Genomic DNA, 27,196 nt, shown 5'->3' with positions numbered 1-27,196 from the left:
TCCATGGTTTAGGAAGTGAAAAATTACCCTTTCTTCAGCTTCATAACTGGTTCACTTAAGCTCTCTGACCACACATAATTTCAACCCAGTCATCTGAGAGAGGATCATGCTTCCTAATTCTTTCCATTTAATACAAAGGGATGCAGGATGCGGTCTGATCAACAAGCAAGCCTGCAAACAAACTATTTTTATATCCTTTACAAGTATATCTAATAAACCGTGCTATCCCTGTGGTACTAAAATTCAGGCTGCTCCTTTACAAGGAAAAATGCTAACATTTTTGTTTATGGTGCCTCCTATTTCTTTCCCTTTTCTTTTCATCCCTTTCTTCAACAGTTGTAAGTCTAATATAAGCCAGGTACTGTATTAGGTGGTGGAGGAAAAAAAGACAAAAAAAGGCACGTCAGGCCTTTTTCGGACGCCCTCATGTGTACCAGGGAAGTCAGTGCTGTAGCAGGGCAACAGCAGCTTAGAACCTCAAGCTACTGAAAGGCTTCAATTTTTAGCTATTGGCATAAGGGAAAAGCTTTGCTCTAGAGTAGTCTTTTTTTTCTAGGCATATTAATTCCAGTAACAGTTTTCATTTTTAATTCTTTCCTAAATTGAACATTCAGACAATGCAAATATAATAAGGTAGTCCACTCTGACCACTCCTTCTCTGCCCATTAGTAACCTGTCTTTTGTCAAACAAAGCAGCTACACAGTGGAACACCATGAAAATGTTTTGTTTTTGTTTACCTTCCTGACTCAAGGAAATGGTAATGCTCCAAGGTACCACTAGGTGGTGGTAAATGATAAAGGTGAAATGCAGATGGATCCCAGAACTAGAAAGTTTGATGAGGCATGCTTGAGACCGTGTTCCTCGTATCACTACTATTCTATGTTCTGAACTCTAGTTAAGAAAATACATTAGTACTGAGAACCTGTATTAGTCTTAGAAAAAGAAGTAGAGATGCATGAACTCTAATATGAATTTCCTTTTTTCAAAGAGTAAAGTCCTATGACACAAAACATCTCAATGAAATAATCCTTATGAGGTAATAAACAATTTAATACTAAATTCTAGTTTTTACTGTTTTAGAAACAGATTTTCTACAAATCCATATCTGTATTTCATCTAGCTCTATGTTTCTGTGTTGTATGCTGCTTTCAGATCCAACACCAATAGTCCAGAATCTCAAGTTACTTGGAGTTCCTCCAGTACACTGATATTTCACATGGCTGTAATCTTCAATCATTCATGGCTCTTTCTGTCTGGAATCCCTTTTACCACTCTGTGTGTGTGTGTGTGTGTGTGTGTGTGTGTGTGTGTGTGTGTGAAAATATTAACTAGGCCTAATGTAGGGAATACAATGATGTAGTCTCTAACTCAAGTTTACAACCCGCAGTAGAAACAGACCAGGTCAGCGCTGAAGGCAGTGCAGACAACACAGGATGACAGGGCTGTGGAAGAGGTTCCAAAGAACATGCTAAGGATGTTCTAAGACTGCCGGGAGCGATGGGAAGGGTAGGCATGGCTGGGAAGAACATGGGAACATGTGAGCAAACACTAGGATTGCAGAGGAGATCATGCTCAGAATGGAAACAGCAAGGTGGACAATGGCTGGAGGGCCCTAGAGCACAACATTTTCAGAAGAGCTATGAACAGCACACCAGAAGGCAGTCACAAGGTGAGAAGCTAGACAACTGGTGACAGTGCCCACAGGGGCACTTCCAGCCAGGCTAAGATCTACTGATTTCTTTATCCTTTATGCTACTGAAGGCTTTTGAGCAGGGGACTGGCATGACCAAGTCTATATTTTCATAAACACCAAGAGGCTAATATACTTTAGCAGTTATAAGCATGAACTCTAGCACTGGACCCCAGCTTCAAATCCCAGCTACACCACTTATTATTAGTGTGATATTGGGTAAATTGCTTCACTTCTCTGTGCCACATTTGCTCATCTCTACATTAGGGATAATACGAGTTTTACATCACAGAGTGGAGGCACTTAGCAAACATCTAATATGCCAGGCATTAAGAATATGAAAATAGGTTAGACACAATCTTACAAGAGATTAGTGGTAAGACACAGACTTATAAAAAATGGATGTAATGGAGGAGTGATTAGACACTATGGTTTGTGATCTGTATCTCAGAAGATAAGCAGACAAGGGAGGAGTAAATGAGTGAATATTAATAAAGCTTAGAACAGCACCTGACACTTAAAAAAGTGTTAGCAATTTTAAAAATAGTGGGTTTTTTACCATAGAAAAATATATTTAACATAAAATTTACCACTTTAACCATTTTTAAGCATGCCATCCAGTGCATTCAGTTCATCTATGCTGTTGTGCAGCCATCATCACCATTCTGAAAATTTGACTTCTCTAGGTATCTCATCTAAGTGAAATCATACGACAGTCCTTTTGTGTCTGGCTTATTTCACTTAGCATAATGTGTTCACAGTTCATACATGTTATAGTATGTGTCAGAATTCTATTCTTTTCTTTTCTTTTCTTTTCTTTTCTTTTTTAATAGAGACAAGGTCTCCCTATGTTGCCCAGGCTGGTCTTGAGCTCCTGGGCTCAAGCGATCCTCCTACCTTGGCCTCCCAAAGTGCTGGGATTATAGGCATGAGCCACTGTGCCCAGCTTTCCATTCCTTTTTAATGGAGAATAATATTCCATTGGATGTACATACATGTCGTTTATCCACCCATCTGCTGACAGCTGTTTGATTTGTTTCCACCATTTAGCTACTGTGAATAATGCTGCTATGAGCATGGGTATACACATATCTGCTGTGGTCTCTGCTTTCATTTCCTTTGGGTACATACCCAGGGGTAGAAGTGTTGAATCATATGGTAACTCTATGTTTAATCTTTTACGGAAACACCATACTGTTTTCTACTGGGGCTATACCATTTTACATTCTCACCCGTAATGCACAAGGGGTCCAATTTCTCCATATTCTCACCAATACTTATTTTCTGTCTTTTTGTTTGGTTTTGCTTTTTGTAACAGTCATCCTAATCGGTATGAAGCGGTATCTTGTTGTGGTTCTGATTTGCATTTTCCTAATGATTAGTGATGTTAAGCATCTTTTATGTGCTTATTGGCCATTTGTTTATCTTCTTTGGAGAAATGTCTATCAAAACCCTTGCATATTTTTTAATCAGGTTGTTTATTTTTGTTGCTGAGTGTAATTGTTATTTTTAACAGAGCACTCTGGTTGCTGGTTAGTGAAAGACAAAACTGGAGGCAGGGAGACAAAGGCTCTTGCAGAAACTGCAGAAAGTAATGCTGAAATGAGGTTGGAGCTGATAAGAAGTGGCAGGATTTGAATGAGAAAATGGAGGTAGAAATAAGGGAGAGAGGATGGAAACAGCTTTGTGAATGATGAGATGTGAGCCATAAGAACGGGGTGAAGCCAACAGTGAGGCTCTGGTGTTTGAGCTGGGCAACTGGCTGGACAGTGCTGCCATTCTCAGATATGGGAGTCCTAGAGGGAGGTTGGTTTGGTGATGAACCGCAATAATGAGAGCACTGAGACGCTTCCCCTTGTCTGTGTGTCTTCTAAGATACATATCACAAATCATGGTGTCTAATCACTCCTCCATGACATTTATTTTTACAACTCTGTGTCTTACCACTGGTTTCATGTGAGACCGTGTCTCACCTATTTTCATATCCCTAATGCCTGGCATGTTAGATGTTAGCTAAGTATATTGAGAAACAGAGGGGGTAGGGAAAGGAAGGAAGAGCAGAGCCTTTGAATGAGAGATACAAGCACAAATAATAATCAAGTTTTTTACCTGCTTCGGATTCAGGAGGGGAATAAAACTGACCATCAGAAAGACCACCAGGTATAAGTGCTGCCCTCTCTGAAGCATCCTGAACTATCAGGAGTCCTGGAAGAGAAGAAATTCAGATGTTGGGAATGAGGTCACCTTTCTGGTAGCTTTTTGGCAAGATTAAGTAAAATAAAATGGTATTATTATTACAATGAAATACCTTTAGAAAAAGAGGTACTTTAAAAATGTTTCAACCAAACAATAAGTTTCATTAACAAATGACAAACAATACTGTAAAGACAGATAACTAAGCAGCTTAAATAAGTGCCTCATGAGACTGGGCATGGTGCCTCACACCTGTCATCATAGCACTCTGGGAGGCCAAGGATGGAGGATCGCTTGAGCCCAGGAGTTTGAGACCAGCCTGGGCAACATAGCAAGACCCTGTCTCTATAAAAAATTTAAAAATTAGCCGAGTGTGGTAGTGCATGCCTGTAGTCCCAGCTACTGGGGAGGTTAAGGTGGGAGGATTGCTTGAGCCCAGTAAGCCAAAGCTGCAGTGAGCCATGATTGTGCCACTGCACTTCACAAAGTGAGGCCCTGTCTCAGAATAAATAATTCAGTATTTACATCTTTCCCTTGTGAGTACCTGCCTTCCTACAAAAAAGCACAGTATCAAAACCAAAACAAAAAGTAAAATAAAAAACATGGTCAGTTCCTACAAACGGTCTGCTGGCTACATCTGGTTAGAGAGATGCCAGATGTAAAGTGCAATACAGGGATGGCCTTTTATAAATATATAAAGAACAATCAAGATGACAAATATTTATGCAACAAGAAGGTTTCAAAAGAAAAAAAGTGTCTTAAAAAAGCAAAGAAAAGGTAAGAAAGCAGGACGTGGACAGCTGAGGAACACTAACACACGCAAGGCCACCAACACTTAAGTTCTTTTGACTGAAAGCTGAGTTAACCTCAGGATAAAGTCGGAGGAAGCACCAGGCCAAATAGCAGATACCAGGTATGTGTGTCATACATGCTACTGACAATGAAAATAAGTGCTAATTTAAAATTTTCATTAATTGTGTGTTCTGCTTTATTAGTCACTTTGAATGTGGTTTAATCCTATAACCATTCAAGCCTCAGTCATAGTAATAGTTCATATGTTTTCAACAAAGTTCAGTTTTATATTTATATACAATTAAAAAAGACTTTCATTAGCTTTACTTATAACTTCTCCAAGATACACTTTCACAAAGGAATAGACGGCACAGGATAGAAGGTACAACTCAGTCTGATTAATGGGTTTTTAAAATCTACTCTTGAATTATCCTTTTCTTATATATTTCTTCTATGTAAATGAGATTTTCCAAAATAAAACCACTTGCAAGATTATTTTGCATCCTGCTGTTTTTTGAAGTTATAATCATGCTTAACTTTCTATAAGATACTTTTTTTTTCCTATGAGGCAGGGCAAATTGAGCCAGATGGCCAGCAGAGGCATAAAAACAGCATGTCTTGAAACTGCATGGGTGTCTGAAATGAGCTTTGATCGTTTCACCTTTAAGATGGGTGGGTGGGGCATGTGGGCTTCCATTAAGGACATTATGTGGAGAAGAATTTCAGCTTGGTAATTTACCATAAAGCTTAATCAATCATTTGGCCTTCCTAGTGAATATTCTGGGATATTGAAAGCCATGATGAGATTATAGCAGCTTTGGCAGGATTCATGAGTACACCTTGTTAGCTATGACTCAGCTACTCAGAGGATGGTGAAAGGCTGAGCGTCGCTCTGGCTTGCTGTCATCCTCCTGTGAATAATCTTCATCCTAAACCCACCAATGGTCCCCAGCCCTAGGCATTTAACTGTTCTAACAGAGGCCCATCTGAAGCCACCAACTGCTGTATGGATCACAATGGGAGACTTTGGAGAATCACTGGCTTGTATTTAGAATAGTTGCTTCCACTCACTTAAAATTGGTTTTATTTTCTCTGACCCTAAACAGCACAGTTCTGTTTACATGCACAAAATGCTTACTGTCCTGTCTATTGCTAACAGGGAGAAAAGAACAACCTGTCTGGGGAGAAAAAAGTGCTGGCTATTTTTTGTTATTGCTTGAATGCCCTTTTCACCAGTGTTCACATTTTCTTCCAGGGGAAGCCTGGCCTGATAGCTGGAGAGAGGAGCTGCTTTCTGTTACTTACCCTTTCATCCACCCAACCCTTCTCTCGATTTCTGCTGTAGCCACTAAAGAATGAAGACCCCACCACTGCCTAACTCTACCCATTTGCAGCCCCATTCACACCAAGAAACCACATCTCTTCCTCCCAGCTTGGTATCCAGTCCGCCTCAGGAGGCTGACTTTGAGAGGAACTTACTGTTTTCTTCTTCTGCTTCTTGAGGTAACACTTTGAAATCCAGGAACCACGTCTCAATCCAGGCAAGGATGAATGAAATGATGGGCAGCACATAGCCAAAAGCCCCTTGAGAGAAAAGCTGGAAAATACGACCAGGAAAGGGAAATGCAGTTACCACAAACTCACACTGAAAAACGAGGCTTCATCACTGAAGATGGTAACTGTATAGAAAAAGTGGTAGGCCATACCTTCGAAAGGATCACTTTTGCTAGTAAAAAGGCACTGGTCACTGCCGTTGTCAACTGCAAGACACATAATCCAGCACTGTTCACACTAGGCATCTCACACTGTGAAGGTACCTCCCTCTTCACAAGAGACCCGTCTGAGCCAGGAGCAGGCAAGGCCTGAAAAACCTGTGCCTAGCCTGGCTCCTTCCCATATCACTCAGTCTCTCTCCCCTAGACCCACACTGGGGCAAAATGGGCTTCTACATGTGACACAATCCCTAAATGACTGTGTGTGGTTTATTCTCCCACATTTCAGCAGGCTGGTGTGCTAGGTAACTAAGTTTGATCCACCAGAAGGTACAATTCCAAAGCCTCTACAAGCACATGAAGAGACTGGTAAAGTGCATAGGTAGGGCTCTCGCCAGGGGTTGTGAAGTCCAGAGATACCATAATACCTGAGCCTTGTCACTGTTCCTTCAACTAATATTTTTAGCATGGTGAAACCTGACCAAAATGAATACCAATAGTAGCTTGACTGACAGAAGGAGGACAGGGAACACCAAGTATCTTGCTCAATAAGTATTAACAAAGTTGCAGACACACACACACACACACTCACACACACACACACACACACACACAGAGCTGCTTGGGAGAGGAGGCAGTTTAGCATTTTATATTCTGACACTAATTAACTTTACAGGCTCACACTAAGCACTCTTTAAATACCAGCTGACTTCTCCTCCTTCCAGCTTCTAGACTCTTCTCTGCAAATGTTTTTTAAAACAAGAATCAGAAGCAATAAAATGATTTGCTAAATTAGACTTATTCTTCAGATAATCTGAAAGCAGATATTGAAGATACTGTCTTACAGCTCTCACTGAATATCTATATGTCAAACACTTTTCTAAAACAAACATTGAGAGGGATAGTCTGACAAATACTAGCATACATATGGGGACTCAGGAATACAACATCCCAAAGGGATCTGTTGTAGAAAATGCAGAAAAATGGGAGGGTACAATCATCAAAAGCTATGATGATATCAGCAAAAGAGTATTCAGGAAAGGGAGTCAAGTCTGGCCAAGACTGTCAGCCTATATCCATGAAATGAGAGCTTCCGGATTAACAGATGGTCTGACCGCTGCCCCGTGATTCTGAGAATGCTCAGAAGACATGGCCCAGACAGACATCGCCCCCTAGTGGACTCAGGAGGGCAGCACAAGTCCTATTCCCAGCTGGAGAAACCCAGGCCTGGGCCACCCAGACCCGAGCTCTCACCCTCTAATTGCAGAACTGCAGGTTATTTCTGAGCAGCTCTCTCTAGTCTGAGGAGCTCCACATTTTCTTCCCATAGAACTGACTTATTAAAGCTTTACAAAAGGCAAATATTCAGACATCTGTCAGGCAGAACTGCTAGTAATTCTATCAATCTCTAAATACTTATTAAGAATACCAAAGCTCTCTGTGCTAGATGCCAGGAAACAGAGGAGTAAAAAAGTCCTTGTCCTTGAGAAGTCCAAGGCAACAACAGAGAGACTGAGAGCTTTTCCCTCCAAGACAGGGGGTTGTGGGGAAGAAAGGAGGGGGTAAGGCAATTACCTAAATAAGTACAGACCATGTCATGAAAACAATCACTAAGCAGTTTCAACCAAATAAGACATTTTCCAAATATCTCTGTGACAGAGGTCTCCTCTCATCTCTTATTTGCAAAATGAGGTAGAGGGTGGCTTGGTGCTTGGCCAATAATCACTGTTGGGCTTCTAGATTCCTCATTTGGCTCAGCACCAAGAGACAAATCTAGTTACTCATTAACATTGGAAAGAAGCCCTGGAGTATTAAACCTACTTAAGTATGGAGGAAACGGGACTCAGGAAAGCTGGTGGGATTCCACCTGCATTAGAACTGTATCTTCTCCCAGCCCAGGCCTGTTGAGAGCAGGACTTGGCCACCAGCACTGGAGGAGATGACCCACTCATGCAGGGCATACTCACCGCTATTGCCCACCAATGGCGCAGTCTGCACACAGCATATGCAAGTATTAACACTTTAAATCGAAAAACTGCCAGAAGCTGAAAGTAAGAAAATAAAGGGATGTTTTAAAAAATATATACAAAAATGACACAGCTTTATGAAAAACTCACCAGACTGTCTTCATTACTGTGATTTAGCTGGAGACTACCAGGGACTGGCACTGGTCTGTAGACCAGCATTTGGGAATCCCTGCTCTACAACTTAATGTAATAGCAAATTAGGTCTCACATTAATCTCCCATTATGAAAGAAAAAACAAGGCAAGAAAAAAAAGATGTCATTTTCATCATCTTATTATACAAATAGGTGAATTTTCCTTTCAGTGACTAGATATGTCAATGGGTTCTATTTGAGCCATTTGAAAGAATAAAGGCTCTCCAACAAGAAAATAGGAATGGCTCCTTCTGTTGCCCTCCCTTATCTGTCATTAATCTTTTATTTCCTTGAGATGATGACACAATTCCTTATTTAGAGAGAGAGAACATTGAATGGGTGGGGAATTAAAAGAAAAGGAAAATATGGTCAGTGTTCAAAAGAGGAAAAAAGGGCATGGAATTTGAAGTCTATTTAGAGGAAATCTGCCTTTTGGGTCAGTTTTATCACATCTGAAATGAAACATAAAAAATACTTACAAATATATCAAAATATGAAGAATAGTAGTCATACTGCATCACCTCCTTCTCTAATGTGTTCTCAATGCCTCCATTCACCTAGAAAGGAGAGTAAGAAGCAAAAACAAGGAGAGGTTTATGTGTGGAAATAAAACAAGGTAAGATTTCCTATCCAACTTTCCTGCCTATCTTCTCAGAACCCAGAAATGCTAAAGTGCGAAGAAAAGAACTCTCATAATTTTAATAGAAAAGGGCTAGATGGCACTCTCCAATTCCTCAACTCTGAATTCATTCACTCAACAGATATAAATGTATAGTGAAAAATAATGGCTTCTGTAGTTCATAGTTGGGAAAATTAAAATGTTAAGAAAATTATTTTTTCCCTTCTAAGATAAAGTCTTCCATCATACAAAAGTATATTTTTAAAGAAGGCAATTCACCTTTATCCAGGACTACCTTACTTTCTGATCACGCTCCACTGTCTTAGGTCTTGGAAGGCCAAGACTCCCCGACATCCGGGCAAACGTCAATGATGGCCATTAGCATGACACAGGATAGAAGTGTAAACATTCTCTGTGGTTTCTCATTTTTATTTCTCCTGGCATTTAAAGATTCTGCACTTTTATCAATTTAAATATATTTTTAACATGAATAGATAATGAAATAAGGACAGTACTAGACTCAAACCTGATACAACTTTCTGTCCTCTCCCAATGCTACTGTCAAAATAAATCTTGTATTATCGAGCTCAAAATTCGACAAATGAAACTATGGAGCATAATACTTTTAAAAAATCAAGTAAGGGGACATGTGTCGGCAGCTAATGCAGCACCCAAGCAGGGTAACTGTCAGAGCCCCTGGATTAGCCTGATCAGAGGGAGCAAACAAATGCAGAGGGTTTAAAAGAGGACCAATGGAAGGACAGTTAACCAGAGACCTGGATAAGAGGGAAAACATTAAGGAACACCTTTGCCAGGTTCAAATTCGAATGAAAGTTGCCATAGGGAAGGGTATTCCTAGCTTAGGTATCATTTCACATATTTGTATTTGTTATGCAAAAATGAAAGCATACCATAAATACTATCCTGTGCCCGAAAATCCCTTAAGGAGGTCTACATTTCTTTGTAATTAGTATGGATCCTCTGTAGACCTGCTTGGCTACAGACCTCTACAAATGAATAGAATTGAAAACCTGGGAGGAAGGAGGAATAATGATTGAAAGACACCCAACCATTTAGTCTCATTACTGTCTCTCCGGACTAAGGAAACTTGTCAACATCCAGAATATTATAAGAATGATTATTCCAAGCGGCCTACAGCAAACAGGAGTTCTCTACCACATAGAGACCTCCCCTTGCTATTCCTGGGAGAACAGGAATCAAAGCAGCCCATAGAGTTTTGCAATAAATAGCCCATAGCTTTTCTCTGGTATCTGCATACTTTAAAATGCTCTGATTTGGAGTTGGCTTTAAACAGACATTATCTAAAATGTATATCTCTATCCCTAACTTATACTCTAAATCCTCATTTCAAAATTTTTGTCTCTACCTCAAGATGTCTTAAATAAACTATCTTTAGTTTCACACAAAATCCCTTCCCAGTCAGTTCTGGTACTACTCTTCTAGAGTTCATCACTGGAAACTTTAGAGTCATCTTTGCATACTGGGGATGATAAAATCGGCCTATCAACAAGTCTTCTCATACTCCTTCCTTTAGTGACTCTCAGGTTAGTTCTTTCCTTCCTATTCCCACCGCCTTCCATGACATTCCTGCAACAGCTTCCGAATTCATGTTCTTACTGCCAATCTGTCCCACCTGCTCACCACTGCCACAATGATCTTTATCCATTCACCAAATATTTGCTGAGCATCTACTACGCACCAGGCACTGTTCTAAATATAGGAAATACTTCAGTAAACAAAATAATATGTCTTCATGGAGATTATATTCTGGCAAGGTGAGAGAGATAGCAAATAAGAAAACAAATGCTACACAGACAACAGAAGCAGGACAGTGTGACAGAATAATGAAGACATTTAAACTGATACTAGCAAAATAAGAAGTTGAATTCTATAAAAAGATAAAGGAAATTAATCATTTCATATAGAAGAAACAACTAGTAGAAGGGTCCCAAGATAGAAAGGAGCTTATTCCTTTCTGAGAACAGAAGAAGGCAAGTGTGCTCATCTACCGTGAGCCAGGAACAGAGGGTGGGGAGGAAGTCTGAGAGGCTTCTGGGGCCTCTGCAAGCCAAAGTACGACATTTGGATTTTATTCTAAAAGCATGGCCTGCCAGTGAAGAGCTGTAACAGAAAGTGACATGATCTGACTTTTGTTTTTCACAGGTTACCCTGGCTACTGTGAGAAGAATGGATTGCAGGGTGAGAGGAAGCAGGCGACCAGCCAGGAGTGCAGTTTGGATGAGTGATAATGTGGCTTGGTTGAAGCTGGAAACAGTGGAAAAGAAAGGGAAACAGTGGAAAAGAAGGGAAACAGTGGAAAAGGAGAAACAGTGGAAAAGAAGAGAAGTGGTCACATTTTGAATATATTTTAGAGGCAGATTTGACAGGACTTACTTTTAGACTGGATATGAAGCATGAAAAATACAAAACAAGCAAATCAAAATGCGTTTTCATGTTTGGCCTAAGTCTCTGCATTTTCTTACTGATGAAAAAGGGGGAAAGCAGGTGTGTGTATGCATTGGGGGAAACATGTTAAGTCAGACATCCAACTGGACAGGTCAAGGAGGCTGTGATGTAGACTGTGAGTCACTGACTTCTGGAAAATCTCAAAATCATGTTGTCCAATCTGCTCCAGAATCTGTAACAGCTCACCATTGCAGTAAATACAAATCCTTCTATATACCTTTTAATAACTTGAATAATCTAGCACCAGCCTACCTATTCAATTTCATTTCCAATAGGCACCTTACTTTCTAACCAAGCTAGTATTTTCTTAGCCTCTGTCCCTGTTCCCTCCAAATACAAGCACTTGAGCACGTACTCCCCACACATAAGCACTCACTCCTGCCTCAGTACTTCCATGCGCCGTGATCTCCAAACCCTCTCCCCAAGCTCCCACACTGAAGGATCATCCTTCCCAGATCATCCTCCCATCTTAACTGCCACCTATCCTTCCAAATCCAATTCACAGTCCATCTCTTCCATTCACTCCCTCAAACAGTCCAAGCCACTGATCTACCTCATCTGAATTTCTATTATACTTGGTCATCACCATTTATAGAGCATAGTAGGAATGAGGTAATAGAATCAGAATTAGCAGGGTAATAAGTACCTGAAACTTAAATGTAACAATAGTGAGAAAACAGTAACCTGCATTTTTTTCTTCTTTCTGGGTTAAATTTATTTTAGTTATTAATAAATTACATGAACTATAATCATGCAGACCTTTGTATCTTCAAAGGGGCTGCTGTATACATCTTTCCATTTGATCTTCACATGGACCCATGAGGAAGGCAAGACCAGTATTAGTTTATTAAATTGATCAAAAGGCCCAGAGAACTTATTAAACAGCTTGCCCAAGGCCAAAGACCTGGTCACGACAGCTCTAAGTCAAATTAGGACTGTTATGACATTTTCTAGAACGCCAGTTAGAAAATAGTAAGAAAAAAGTCACTAAGCATTGATAAAGGCTTTTTTTGAACCATAGTCTCAATCAAGTATCAAAAGCTAAAAAGAAAACCAAATTCCTTTCAACTGTCACTACTTTGATCCCTGTTCACACTGTCTACAGAGTGTAGGAGAGAGTCTGCAGAGGGAAAAGAGTCCTCAGGGAACGCAAGCCATAATTAATTCCAGATCCAACTTGGGAAATCAGTCTACTCAAAGGTGGACCAAGAGGCCTTGGATAGAATCAAAACCATCCTTTTGATTGACCGAAAAGAGATCAGCAGCCCTAAGATCTTCTAGAAGGAAAATGAACTAAGGTGGTGTTAGGCTTCTCTGGCTCACCGAGCCCTGCATTTGAGGCTGGGATGGTGCCAGTCAGGTCCCTGTGGCAAGGAGGGAAGGTGGCTAAGGTGGAAGTCATACATGAAGGCAAAGTAGTTTGGTTATTGTTATAATTGCAAAGAACAGCTGGTTCTCCATATTCTAAAGCTCTAAGCACCCTTTATGACATTTTCTTTCTTCTTTTAAAGACTACATCACAAGGCAGTATAAGATTATGTGCCATATTTATTCAGCTAAACTCTAAATCCCATATAGTTTTTTTTGGTAGAGCTTGCAACACCTGAATTAGAAGCCTGTTCTCTGGCATTTGGTAAATGTAAAGACATGTTTAAAAAAATGGATTTGAATGATTAGAGAGTTACAGAGAGACAACAAAGCAAAATGAATGGTACTGCGTGTAGTGAAAACACCAGGTCAAGACTGACAATTCAAAACAAGTAGAACTAGAAATTGGGCATCGAAAAACAATCATACTAAAAAAAGTCCTGATGTTCTTGCTTGATCATATACCCTTTTCCAATCTTTTAATTTTACAGGTGGGGAAACTAGTAGTTGGTGGAAAAGTGAGGATAAAAACACATTTCTAAATTGCTAGGCCTGGTGATTTTTCATTTATAACACGTTGCATGCAGATGTAAACAGATAACTTGTCTGTGAACAAGAACAGGGGGCAGCCTACTTCATTTCCACTTCCCTGGACAAAACAGAAAGGAGAGAAATGAGAAGTGTGATCCCATGAACCCCACCACAGTTCTACCCCATGACTTTCCTCATTTAAAGGCATACAGTGATATAAGCAGCCAAAGCAATGAATGCCCGGACTTGCTGTTGACGTTAAAATAAATTTAAAGTGTGCCCCCTTAAAACTACTGATGTGTTTCCTGTTAAAAGATGCATTTCCGGCCAGGCGCGATGGCTCACACCTATAATCCCAGCACTTTGGGAGGGCAAGGCAGGCAGATCATGAAGTCAGGAGATAGAGAACAGTGTGGCCAACACGGTGAAACCCTGTCTCTACTAAAAATACAAAAAAATTAGCAAGGCGTGATGGTGTGCGCCCTGTAGTCCCAGCTACTCTGGAGGCTGAGGCAAGAGATTTGCTTGAACCCAGGAGGTGGCAGTTGCGTGAGCCAAGATCGTGTCACTGCACTCCAGCCTGAGTGACAGAGCAAGACTCTGTCTCAAAAAAGAAAAAAAAAAAGACGCATTTCCTTTTCATCTCTCATTACATAGCTACAGTTTTGAAATCATATTACTCCTTTAAAATATACATTAATTAAAATATTTTCTTTAATGTGCATATGTGGAACACATAGCAAAAAGAGACTCTAAATTACTATGTCATATCACTGGGCTGTCTGATTATAAACAAAACTTAACAATCCCACAGTGCAAAATTAACAGAAGAAAAATCTGTAAACAGAAACTTAACAGTGGACTCATGTTCCATGTCACTGTGATTATGGGACAAATATTATTTTCTAATGTAACTGTCTGCTTTCATAACGAGTTTAGTTCCTCTATTAGGATTCATGATGAAATTAAATGAGATTCAGTGACCCTAATTATTAAGAGAATAGAGTTTAGAATTGAAATTATGCTATGAATTAGAATACTAATCAAAAATTAGATTAAGATGCTGCTTCTTGCTGTTAAAAGGCAAAATTTTAAATAATTTTCAAACAGGAATCTCAGCATCTTTTCATATTTTTGTATTATAATAAATTCTCATAAAACATCTAGCACTGTGCCTAGCAAAGAGTAACCCCCTAAAAATAAACAACAGGGAATAATGATTACTACCTAGGTCTTAGCAAACATTTCCTGGAAATAAATGAACTGCTGAAAATAGGAAAGCAGACACTTTTTGCTTGTGAGGAAAACCTCCTGGAGGAGCTCACCTATTGGTTGGTAAGAAATGTAAACAATCAGACCAAAGGCTTTGGGAAGAAAACACATATATTGGGTTAAATAAAAAATATTATTAAAATGAGTTTCATCTGTTTGATTTTTATTAATGTGGCAACTAGAGAATTTTAAATTACATATTTAATAGTTTGCATTATATTTCTATTGGACAGTACTGGTCTAAACAATTAGTTGGTAATACAGAATAACTGCATAAACCTCCAAATGCCTCCAGGACAACTTTTCCGATGAAATATAAATAAGTAATCTCTTTGCAAGAAAGTAAAGAACAAACATGTGCAAAATCTTAAACCTAGGAACTAGAAAAGTACATGAAACATCTAAAACATATTCCAAAAGCATTCTACATTTTCTGGAGGAAGGATGGGTAAACTTTTTCTGAAAAAGACTAGAGAACAAATATTTTTGCCTTTGTGGGTCAGAGGGTCTCTGTCACAACTATTCAACTGCAACTACTCAGTGCAAAAGCCAGCCATAAACAATATGTAAACAGACAGGCCTGGCCACGTTCCAATAAAACTTTATTAAAACAGGCCTACTGAATTTGTCTTACAGCCTATAGTTTGTCAACTCCTGTTACAGAGCAAAATACCAGGAATTCAAATTTCAAAACCCCAGACAACATGAGTTTTAAACTGATCACATTTGCCTTAAACAATAATATTAAAGAACAAGAAAGGTCCAAATCAGGAGGAGAAAAGCAATGGCTTCATTTGGAAAAAGATGGAAATTACTAAATGAAACAAATGATAAGAGAAACGAACAAAAAAACCCTGTTGTCTCTGGAAACACTTCTTAAAAAGTTATGAAAGAACCACCAACTTACATTTAACTCTATTATCCACAGTAATGTTACGAATAAGAGGTCAAAGGTGACAAACAAACAGAAAGTCCTCCTGACATCAGATATGCCTTTCTTTTCCCTTCCTTCATAGGACTCAATCCTGGCCATGAGTTGTGTGGGGTTGATGGAATGGATATTGCGCAGAGAAGCATGGGAGCTCTGGCTCCCGGTGAGAGCGTTCTCCATGTCTTCTGGCAGGTGGTTCATCCTGGAGGAGGGTTACAGGAGCCTTTTTCCAACCTCACCATCCCTAAAGAGAAGACACCTTTGGGAAATAAAAAAGAGACACCATGTTAAATCCAAGCTGATCAAATATAACTGTGCAACCCTCTCCACTGTGCAACTATTTCTCTAACTGAACAACAGAGTACCTTGACTGATTTATGTTTTCATGAAGACATAAAGAGAAAGAGAAATGAGAAGCAACACATAATGTTTTAGAGCAATACTACAAAATAGCTGTTTTAGCAAAGAATGGCAAGAGAGAAGAAGCAAACTGACTGTAGGAAAGGGTGAAGGCAGGATGTTAGCTACAACTGAAAGGTGTTCCTGATGACCTGGACCAAACCTCTTGGTGAACGACTCAGTTACCTTGCTGTGACAGGGAGAAAACCTCCACAGTCCTGTAAGTATAACTGTGCATGGGCTAGAAAATCATCTACTGAATGCTTTCCTGGAGCATGTAAGCAGAATGTGTAAATTAGCTATAAAAAAGCTTATTTCCAAGCCTGGGCAATATAGCAAGGTCCTGTCTGTACAAAAAAGAAAAAAGAAAAATCAGCTGCGCATGGCAGCACATGCCTATAGTCCTAACTACTCAGGAGCTGCATAGGAGGATCGCTTGAGCCCAGGAGTTGAGGTTATAGTGAGCTATGATCATGCCACTGGACTCCAGCCTGGGTAACAGAGCAAGACACTGCCTCAAACGAAAAACAAAAATCACACAAATATCCTTACTTCCTGAGGAGGAATTTCTTTCCATCAAAAGTACCTTATAAACTAAAGTTAGTTAGCATTTCCCCATCCTCTTAATGAACAAGCATGTTTCTAGGCCTCTTCTTGGAAAAGAAGTGCACACACTAAACAAAAAGTTTAGCACTATGCAAACCACCTGACCAATAATTACAGAAGATATAGTCCTATACAGAGATGCAGGCCCCTCAAGACCAGAGGGCACTTTTATAATAAAAATTAAAAATGAGTAATCCAAATAATCTGATCTGCTTATGGATGGGACAAAGACATTAAACGAAGTGTGGTGGATGGTATGATTGTCAAGCAGCCTAGTTTCCTTTCCTGTAGGACCTCTCCCTGTGGGATTATATACTCCTGGCTCTACTGAACTCCTATCTGTTCTTTAGCCATGAACGTGGCATGTAACGTGGGCAGAAGTTCATATGCCACTTGTGTCCAGAGCTGGTACATGAATCGCCAGTATGTGGCTCACCACACTCTCCTTTCTTTCTGCCACAATGACTGGCAATGTCTAGGTAAAGAAGAGGATTTTCAAAGCCATAAAATAGAATTTAGAAACAGACAGCTGAGATTTCCCTAAAGCAATATGATCCCATTTGGTCCTATTATTCACTGTCCAGAACTTCGTCTCTTTACACTTGACCCTGATTTCTCTTCCTTTCCACACTCAGGAACAAAAGTCTTTCTCATACTTTTTAACAATGTGGTGGTAAAATGGCACAGCATTTATGAAGGCAATTTGATTATGTGAAATAAGATACTTTAAAACCTCCATACTTCCTGATCTTGTAACCCTAAATCTAAATGAAATTAATCAAACTACAGACCTTCAAAGCAAAAACTGATCTATGGCCTTAAAGGTCAGGTTAGTGATTATCTTCAAGAAAGAGGAAAGAAACAGTGATTAGAAGGCAGAGGGTAGAGGGCATATTTAGGGGACTTGGTAAAGTTCTATTTCTTTACCTGAGTAGTGGTAACATAGTTGTGTTCATTTAGTGATAATTTATTGATGTACACAGTAGTTTTAGTCATGTGTTGGCTCATGAAAAATTCAAAATGCTATATAGTATATACATGTATACACAACTGAATAGTGTATATTATATTTCAATAAAAATCCATATTAAAAGACTTTATCATAAGGTATCTATAATAGTATCAATTAGAAAACAACCTAAATAACTAATTAGAATAATTAGATAAATCATGGTATAGCCACAGTATAGTCACTAAAATAAATGTTTATGAAGCATTTATAATGACTTAGAAAAAATGCCTGGGTTATGATAACTAAATTAAAAATCAAATACTAAATGGAATACACACAGACACAGTATGTTCAGAACTCTGTAAAATAAACCTAAACCGAATTCTTATAAGAAGGTACCTATGAAATATATCAGATATTGAACCAGCCTTGCATCCCAGGGATGAAGCCCAATTGATCATGGTGGATAAGCTTTTTGATGTGTTGCTGGATTCGGTTTGCCAGTATTTTATTGAGGATTTTTGCATTGATGTTCACCAGGGATATTGGTCTAAAATTCTCTTTTTTTGTTGTGTCTCTGCCAGGCTTTGGTATCAGGATGATGCTGGCCTCATAAAATTAGTTAGGGAGGATTCCCTCTTTTTCTATTGATTGGAATAGTTTCAGAAGGAATGGTACCAGCTCCTCCTTGTACCTCTGGTACAATTCGGCTGTGAATCCGTCTAGTCCTGGACTTTTTTTGGTTGGTAAGCTATTAATTATTGCCTCAATTTCAGAGTCTGTTATTGGTCTATTCAGAGATTCAACTTCTTCCTGGTTTAGTCTTGGGAGGGTGTATGTGTCGAGGAATTTATCCATTTCTTCTAGATTTTCTAGTTTATTTGCGTAGAGGTGTTTATAGTATTCTCTGATGGTAGTTTGTATTTCTGTGGGATCGGTGGTGATATCCCCTTTATCATTTTTTATTGCATCTATTTGATTCTTCTCTCTTTTCTTCTTTATTAGTCTTGCTAGCGGTCTATCAATTTTGTTGATCTTTTCAAAAAACCAGCTCCTGGATTCATTGATTTTTTGAAGGGTTTTTTGTGTCTCTACCTCCTCCAGTTCTGCTCTGATCTTAGTTATTTCTTGCCTTCTGCTAGCTTTTGAATGTGTTTGCTCTTGCTTCTCTAGTTCTTTTAATTGTGATGTTAGGGTGTCAATTTTAGATCTTTCCTGCTTTCTCTTGTGGGCATTTAGTACTATAAATTTCCCTCTACACACTGCTTTAAATGTGTCCCAGAGATTCTGGTATGTTGTGTCTTTGTTTTTGTTGGTTTCAAAGAGCATCTTTATTTCTGCCTTCATTTTGTTATGTACCCAGTAGTCATTCAGGAGCAGGTTGTTCAGTTTCCATGTAGTTGAGCGGTTTTGAGTGAGTTTCTTCATCCTGAGTTCTAGTTTGATTGCACAGTGGTCTGAGAGACAGTTTGTTATAATTTCTCTTCTTTTACATTTGCTGAGGAGTGCTTTACTTCCAACTATGTGGTCAATTTTGGAATAAGTGCAGTGTGGTGCTGAGAAGAATGTATATTCTGTTGATTTGGGGTGGAGAGTTCTGTAGACGTCTATTAGGTTTGCTTGGTGCAGAGCTGAGTTCAATTCCTGGATATCCTTGTTAACTTTCTGTCTCGTTGATCTGTCTAATGTTGACAGTGGGGTGTTAAAATCTCCCATTATTATTGTGTGGGAGTCTAAGTCTCTTTGTAGGTCTCTAAGGACTTGCTTTATGTTTATGAATCTGGGTGCTCCTGTATTGGGTGCATATATATTTAGGATAGTTAGCTCTTCTTGTTGAATTGATCCCTTTACCATTATGTAATGGCCTTCTTTGTCTCTTTTGATCTTTCTTGGTTTAAAGTCTGTTTTATGAGAGCCTAAGATTGCAACCCCTGCCTTTTTTTGTTTTCCATTTGCTTGGTTGATCTTCCTCCATCCCTTTATTTTGAGCCTATGTGTGTCTCTGCACGTGAGACGGGTTTCCTGAATACAGCACACTGATGGGTCTTAACTCTTTATCCAATTTGCCAGTCTGTGTCTTTTAATTGGAGCATTTAGCCCATTTACATTTAAGGTTAATATTGTTATGTGTGAATTTGATCCTGTCATTATGATGTTAGCTGGTTATTTTGCTCGTTAGTTGATGCAGTTTCTTTCTAGCCTCGATGGTCTTTACAATTTGGCATGTTTTTGCAGTGGCTGGTATCGGTTGTTCCTTTCCATGTTTAGTGCTTCCTTCAGGAGCTCTTGTAGGGCAGGCCTGGTGGTGACAAAATCTCTCAGCATTTGCTTATCTGTAAAGTATTTTATTTCTCCTTCACTTATGAAGCTTAGTTTGGCTAGATATGAAATTCTGGGTTGAAAATTCTTTAAGAATGTTGAATATTGGCCCCCACTCTCTTCTGGCTTGTAGAGTTTCTGCCGAGAGATCAGCTGTTAGTCTGATGGGCTTCCCTTTGTGGGTAACCCGACCTTTCTCTCTGGCTGCCCTTAACACTTTTTCCTTCATTTCAACTTCGGTGAATCTGACAATTATGTGTCTTGGAATTGCTCTTCTCGAGGAGTATCTTTGTGGCATTCTCTGTATTTCCTGAATTTGAATGTTGGCCTGACTTGCTAGATTGGGGAAGTTCTCCTGGATAATATCCTGCAGAGTGTTTTCCAACTTGCACATGTATGTTTATTGCAGCACTATTCACAATAGCAAAGATTTGGAATCAACCCCAATGTTCAACAATGATAGACTGGATTAAGAAAATGTGGCACATATACACCATGGAATACTATGCAGCCATAAAAAATGATGAGTTCATGTCCTTTGTAGGGACATGGATGAAGCTGGAAACCATCATTCTCAGCAAACTATCACAAGGACAAAAAACCAAACACCGCATGTTCTCACTCATAGGTGGGAATTGAACAATGAGAACACTTGGACACAGGAAGGGGAACATCACACACCAGGGCCTGTTGTGGGGTGGGGGGAGGGGGGAGGGATAGCATTAGGAGATATACCTAATGTAAATGATGAGTTAATGGGTGCAGCACACCAACATGGCACATGTATACATATGTAACTAACCTGCACGTTGTGCATATGTATCCTAAAACTTAAAGTATAATAAAAATAAAATATAAAAAAATAAAAATGTTAAAAAAAAAGAAATATATCAGATATTACCAATGATTCTCTCGGACTAATGAGATTATATTTTCCCCCTCCTTTGGCCTTTTTCACACTTTTTGCACTTGTTATATGTTTACAATGAGAGGCACTAAATTCAAACATCACTTTGCTGGGGTTCTGTACAGATGTCCTCAGAACCCTAAGCAGCCTTTCCCTTTCTTTTCTGCCAATATAGGCAACATTAGGTAATGTGTCTCTGTCATTCAATTTGTTTCCTCAGAGTCAGCAAATCAGCAAAGCATTTTGAAAAACTCAGTAAGAAGCCACTTAAGCATTTAGTAAAAGGAAAGAAAATAATAAGCTCCCAAATTAAAAGCATTCTTACATAATTTCTGTCTTAATGAGATCAATGCCACCCTAGTGGAAGGTACAGCAACAACATATTCCCCAGTAGCAGCTCTTAACACAAAGCTTGCAAAGCACTACCGCCTGTCAGAATTCTAGGAGTTAATTCTGAAACAGTAAGTAAATATGAATGTAATTAATACATCTTTTGTGATGAAACACATATTTTAAGTTTAAGAAAATAGCTGAGGCCGGGTGCAGTGGCACATACCTGTAATCCCAGCACTTTAGGAGGCCGAGGCGGGCAGATCACTTGAGGCCAGCAGTTCAAGACCAGACTGGCCAACATAGGGAAACCCTGTCTCTACCAAAAAATACAAACATTAGACAGGAGTGGTAGTGCACACCTGTAGTCCCAGCTACTTGGGATGCTGAGGCAGGAGAATCACTTGAACCTGGAGGCAGACGCTCCAGTGAGCTGAGATGGTGCCACTGCACTCCAGCCTGGGCAACAGAGTAAGACCCTGTCTCAAAACAAAACAAACAAAAAAAAAGAAATCTGGATGAATGAATACAGACATATTTTTGCAACAATATATCCTACATTATGAAAAAGCAACTCAAATAATTCTAAGCCAGTCTAATAATTAGCAGCTATATTTTAAAATTAATTTAAATTATTAAATTCACTAATATGTACAGAAAATTGAACGAATTCAAAATTCAAACCAAGGACTGATTTTAGGAGGAAGATCATTTTCAAGGAAATTAAATCATTTTCTTAGTTTCACTCCTTTTTCCTTCCACAAACCCACTTCTTGTGAATAAGAAAGATTAAGAAACGTATCAATCTCAGAAATGTGAAATATATTTCAAAATAAAAAAAGACATTAAATACACAATGGAAATACATGGCTTGGGAAATGAGAATCATTACATTATTTTTCATATGTATATGTGTAACTGCTAATTAGCAAGAATTTATAGATACTTTCACCTCAATAAAAAAAGTTACACAAAGCAGAGACATCTCTGAGCAGATTGGCTCTAATCAAACTGATCTTTCTCTGGGAAAAAGGGAAGTTGTAAAAAGGAGAGTGAGCTTGCTTTTCTTTTTCTTTATAGTTTACCTACTTAATCCAGTGAATTAATTGGTCTAGATGTAACCAATGACAAGGTTAATCTCTGTTAGGTTATGAAAACATATGGTTCAGACTTCTAGAATTAATTTTTTGAGTGAAACTTTTACTTAAAAACAGAAAAATTAGAGAAGAAGAAAAATTAGTTTGAGGGACTCATGTTAGAAACATACTATTCAAACTCAGAAACATTTGGCCATCTTTGTCTTCTATCTCCCTTACTGCTGGTGAAACTAACAGTCACATATGGCCTCTTGCAGCACACAACAGCAGGTCAACAAAGTTGACAGGCTCTACTCCCCATCCCCCCAAAAAAACAATTACTGCTGATTGATAATCTATTTGGGGGATCGGTAAGGGCCTGTGGACTAGTGGGAAGGGAGAGCTCAAGAATCTTTCTTACTCCTACAAAGCAGACTGTAAACTGGGAAATTTGGGAAGCACTGGTGAAAAATACTAAGGAAATATCAGCTAATTTATGCTCTGTAGGAAACTCTTGATTTCTGCATTATTAGCCCTTAAAATAAGACTGGCTTCTTTTTCTGTGACTCATTTCATTGTTGAGTTAAAACATTCTAAATACAAATGTATTTGAGTTAATATACTAGATACACTTCTAAATGTTTTTAAGAACTCAGGCTTAACACATAGAACGTTTAGCCTGAGTTCCTTAAAAAATATATAGGTTAAATGAGAATTAAAAATAGTGGAACAGGGAAGAACGAGAAGCACTGCACTAGCTTCTTCACCAGCCTTGAAGCGACACAGCAGGTTAAGGGCAGACAGGTACATTCAGCCAGGTGATACATTTCCAGATGGGTGAAATGGAGAAACCATGCCTCAGAGCAGTCTGGGGTGGGGGCTTTGAGGGGAACAGTGGGGAGGACTACATCTACCCAGCTGCTTCTTGTTGCCTATTTCCACCTGTCAAATTCCTCCTGACAGTGAGTTAACTCTACTACATTTCTAGTTGCTTCATCTGCCTAAGGTAGCCTCTCTTAAAGCCAGATTACACATTTCTGGGATGGCATTTCATTCGAGTCTTGAGGGAAGATACAAAAACTGTGTGTGGGACTGGCTAGCCTAGGTGCTGGAACCCCACAGACTAGATTAGAGCTGCCTGCCCAGCAAAGCCCGTGGCTGCAGGTTCTTGAGGCAATGCCAAGAGAGTCTGAGAAAGTGCAGAAAAAGTGTCATGGAATTTTCATACACAATCAAGTTATAAATTTTTGGTGTGCATATGCACCAATATCACATGTGGCTCTTGGTTAATCCCCAATACCTGAACCATGTGATTCTGACACTCATTGAGAAAGAGCCCTTCCTTTTAATGAGTAAAGAGAAGGATCATTCCTTACAGCCACTTTCTACTGTCTGGTTATTGGATTTCATCCTAACCATATCCTTCAGAAAGCTGAAGTACAGGGTGAGTTCCTTCAGAGAGACTTTTCTGAATGCTCCCCATATTCCAACCTCCAGGCAGTCAGATGCATTTCCCCCAAGCTCCCCTAAGTCTGTGGATGTGCCACTTAATGATACTGCTTACCACACTAGGCCTTAATTATCCACTTCACTGCCTCTCCCACTAACTAGTATATTCCTTAAAGGCTCTGAATTTGACCACAGCACACGACAGACAGCAGGAACAGAACAAATATCAACTGCATAAATTCTATCTAGCATCTAGCACATATACTAGCAGAGAGTAGGCTCTCAGCAATCTCTGTTGAATTCAGGAGATTACAACTGTTTGTTTTTGTTTCTGAGGAAAAGCTTGGGTATTTTTCCAGATGTCATTTCAGAAGTATTAAATATTCAATCCGGGGTACTGAGATCCTCTCTGGGGTTGGCTTAAGGAAAGCCATACCTCTCTAAAGAGGGTGCTAAGTATTGATTGGCTGTATACACAGGAAGCTAAATCTGCAATTCAGAATTTATCCCAACTGTGTGGGAAGTATGGGAGTGAAGAATTAGAAAATAAAGAAAAACATTTGGGTGAGAAGATGAGAATCCCCTTTGGTTGTTTTCTGAAAAAGAGATTGATGTCTTGTTTTATACCAATGTGTAACTATCCTCCTCTATACTACATTATCAGTCAGCTATTTCTATTTATGCTACATTAACAAATCACTAAAAACTCAATGGCTTAAAGTAACCTATACATTTATTCTCAAGCTCACAGGTCTGTACGTTGCCTGAATTTCACCTGATCTAGGCTGCACCTCATGATGGGTACAGAGCCGGGTCAAAACATCAGCTCCATCTGCTTCCACACAGAAGTGACACTACCCAGATGGTGGACAGCAGCTGCTATGGAGCAGGAGCTACCACTACTTGCATTTTACAGGAGCCCCACAATCTCTCAGCCTTCCTAGGAGGAGAAGAGAGAGACTGTGCACCTCCTGTTGACAGCCAAGCCAAGTCTCTCAACCCAACCACCCAGCCTTCTCAGCACTACTTATGGCAGCAGCCAGGACACTGTATGTTTTCCTCCAAAAGAATGTTGGAATAATAGACATTAAAAATATTTAATTTAGAAAGGCCTTAGTCATCATCTTAGCTAAAGGTCTTTGGAGATGATTTGGCTTAGAGACATGTTTTCTTGGTCTTGTACAGTGTTTCTTAAGATACTGACTTAACTGCTAACATTTTAATTAATTATTTTTTACCCAGATTTCCAGCTTCTCTTGAAAAGTCAAAAGATATAGAATCACCAGGTCTGCATTCTCTTACCATGATAATAAAGCCAAGCTGCTGACCACTTTCAGTGGGGCACGCACTCTCCAGTTGGCCTCAATCTTCACCTAGCCTGGAGGCAATTGACTTTGCCAGCCTGATCTTTCTGACTCTTTTTACAGGCAAAAACGGTGGGGCCTACATGGATCCATCTAAGAGATATTTCAAGATAGTGTATAGTTAGGATTAAAACTTGGCTCTTTCCTCTCTATCGTCCTGCCTTACCCCAGATTCACAGAAGAAAGTAGGAGACACATCAAGAAGTGTTCACATGGTGTGCGAAATACAGTCATGGGATTTGAGAGTCCCAAAGGACAGACTGCCATGGCTGTGACCACTGTATCCTGGGACTGGGTGCCCCTGGAAGCAGGAAGCAGCCTGAGCTGGCTGTCTTGCAAGGCCCCCCACTGTTATGAGACCTGGTTAATGACACAAAAGTCCTGTTTAGAGCCCTCACCTTCCGAGGTGAAGCAGCTAGAAGTAGGAAATGGGAACAGTGAGGGAATAACCTGACATTTATAAACTTACCTTGCTAGTATGAGAAAGAGGCCTGAAAAAACACAGATGCTTTAAAAATAAGCATGCTTAGAGAAGAGAGATGTGGGAAGGAAGCTAATCCAGAGTACTAAAACACAGCAAGACAGCGTCACCGTCATATTCTAAAGGCACCCATGTGACATGAGGAACATTATGGCATGCTAACAAGACCTGGAAAACTGATATGTCAAATTCAACCAGTAATTCAAACTTAGATAAAATAAAAAGTTCTGCTTAATGTCTGCCTACATGAGGCTGTCTACATTTTGAAAACACCTCAAAGATGGTTTGTAGATAAGCTATTCTTAAAAAAAGAAACAAGTGGCTGGGCACAGTGGCTCACAAATATAATCCTGGCACTTTGGGAGGCTAAGTAGTTTGAGAGCTGCCTGGGCAACACAGTGAGTCCTCATCTCTTCAAAATATTTAAAAATTAGCTGGGTATGGCAGTGTAGACTTGTAGTCTTAGCTACTCGGGAGGCTGAGGCAGGAGGATCACCTGAGCCCAGAAGTTCCAGCCTGCAGTGAGCTAAGATTACGCCACTGCACTCTAGCTTGGGAGACAGAGCAAGGCCCTGAAAGAAAAAAAAAATGAAAGAAAGAAAGAGAGAGGGAAAGAGAGAGAGAGAAAAAGAAAGAAAGAAAGAAAGAAAGAAAGAAAGAAAGAAAGAAAGAAAGAAAGAAAGAAAAAAGGTAATGCTATCTCACAGGATCAGAAATTCACAGGGAAAGGACTGGCAGTGGGCAAGGTTAGGGAGCTGATGCATGTGTGTGACACTCCAACCTCCTGAGTCTGAGAAGCTTCACCACGAAGCTCTACAGGAAAAGTTTCATAAAGCCAAAAGCAAACAAATCTTTCTTTGGCGAACTGCCCATTACAATTACGTTGACATTTCAAAGCAGCCTTGTTTTCCTGTGTGCCCTATATGATCCATATTAAATACAATGTCCAGAAAAAAACAGGGGTTTAAAATTTAAATCCAGTAGTCCCAATTTTAGAAATATTTTTTCTAAAAATTTATTTCATAAATTACATCCAAATTAATAGCTGAGGCAATAGAAAGCTACTATATAGAGAAATCTGGGTAAAAACCAGTCATCTCAAAATATTATGTGAAAAATTCTATAAGGCATTTAAATAAACTCACTCGGCCAGTTATTTGGTATTACTTCAAATTAAAAAATATTTTTGGAGTCAAAGAATCAAATTTTGTCAGCAAATTCCTAACGTGCCAAGTGAAAACGAGTGAAATTTTAAAAAAAGAAACAGAGAAAAAGAAGTTTATGTATGAAACTCTACAAAGCATTCCATAGATATATATCATCAGGTCTACAATGGGGAATAATTTTGAAACAAAGGAATACTGAGAGTTACACTATTAAAAAAACACATAATGAATCACAGTAGATGTGCTATATCCTCAAAGAAACAAAATAGCTCACAAGCCAAGCAATGAGAACAAGCTGACAGGCACATGCTCAAGTCTAAAGAGGAGAAGAGGGAATGTGCCCATCAGAAAGAGGATGGGTCAGCCAGGAAAACACAGGAAAAGGAGTGTCA

General features: G+C 39.3%; 1 protein-coding gene across 13 annotated transcripts in view; it reads right to left on the bottom strand.

Annotated features, from left to right (window-relative positions):
• STARD3NL (STARD3 N-terminal like) overlaps nucleotides 1-27,196 on the bottom strand; it is a 52,425-nt gene that overhangs the window by 7,209 nt on the left and 18,020 nt on the right. For 2 of the 13 annotated variants that reach the window (NM_001363340.2, NM_032016.4), the window contains 6 exons: nucleotides 15,732-16,014; nucleotides 9,027-9,104; nucleotides 8,356-8,433; nucleotides 6,383-6,436; nucleotides 6,156-6,273; nucleotides 3,801-3,896 (listed from right to left, as the gene is read on the bottom strand). In NM_001363340.2, coding sequence (NP_001350269.1) covers nucleotides 3,801-3,896; nucleotides 6,156-6,273; nucleotides 6,383-6,436; nucleotides 8,356-8,433; nucleotides 9,027-9,104; nucleotides 15,732-15,956 — 649 coding nt within the window. In that variant the 5' untranslated portion in view covers nucleotides 15,957-16,014. Of the gene's footprint in view, nucleotides 1-3,800; nucleotides 3,897-6,155; nucleotides 6,274-6,382; nucleotides 6,437-8,355; nucleotides 8,434-9,026; nucleotides 9,105-15,731; nucleotides 16,015-21,263; nucleotides 21,392-21,494; nucleotides 21,748-25,095; nucleotides 25,248-27,196 lie in introns of those variants that run through there. The other 11 variants (NM_001363344.2, NM_001363345.2, XM_047420920.1 and 8 more) reach the window with 10 other exon arrangements.

This window comes from Homo sapiens, chromosome 7 (genome assembly GCF_000001405.40).
Source record: "Homo sapiens chromosome 7, GRCh38.p14 Primary Assembly".
NCBI classification, from domain to species: Eukaryota; Metazoa; Chordata; class Mammalia; order Primates; family Hominidae; genus Homo; species Homo sapiens.
The sequence above is the reverse complement of the archived record's forward strand: the minus strand, read 5'-3'. Positions and strand labels throughout refer to the sequence as shown.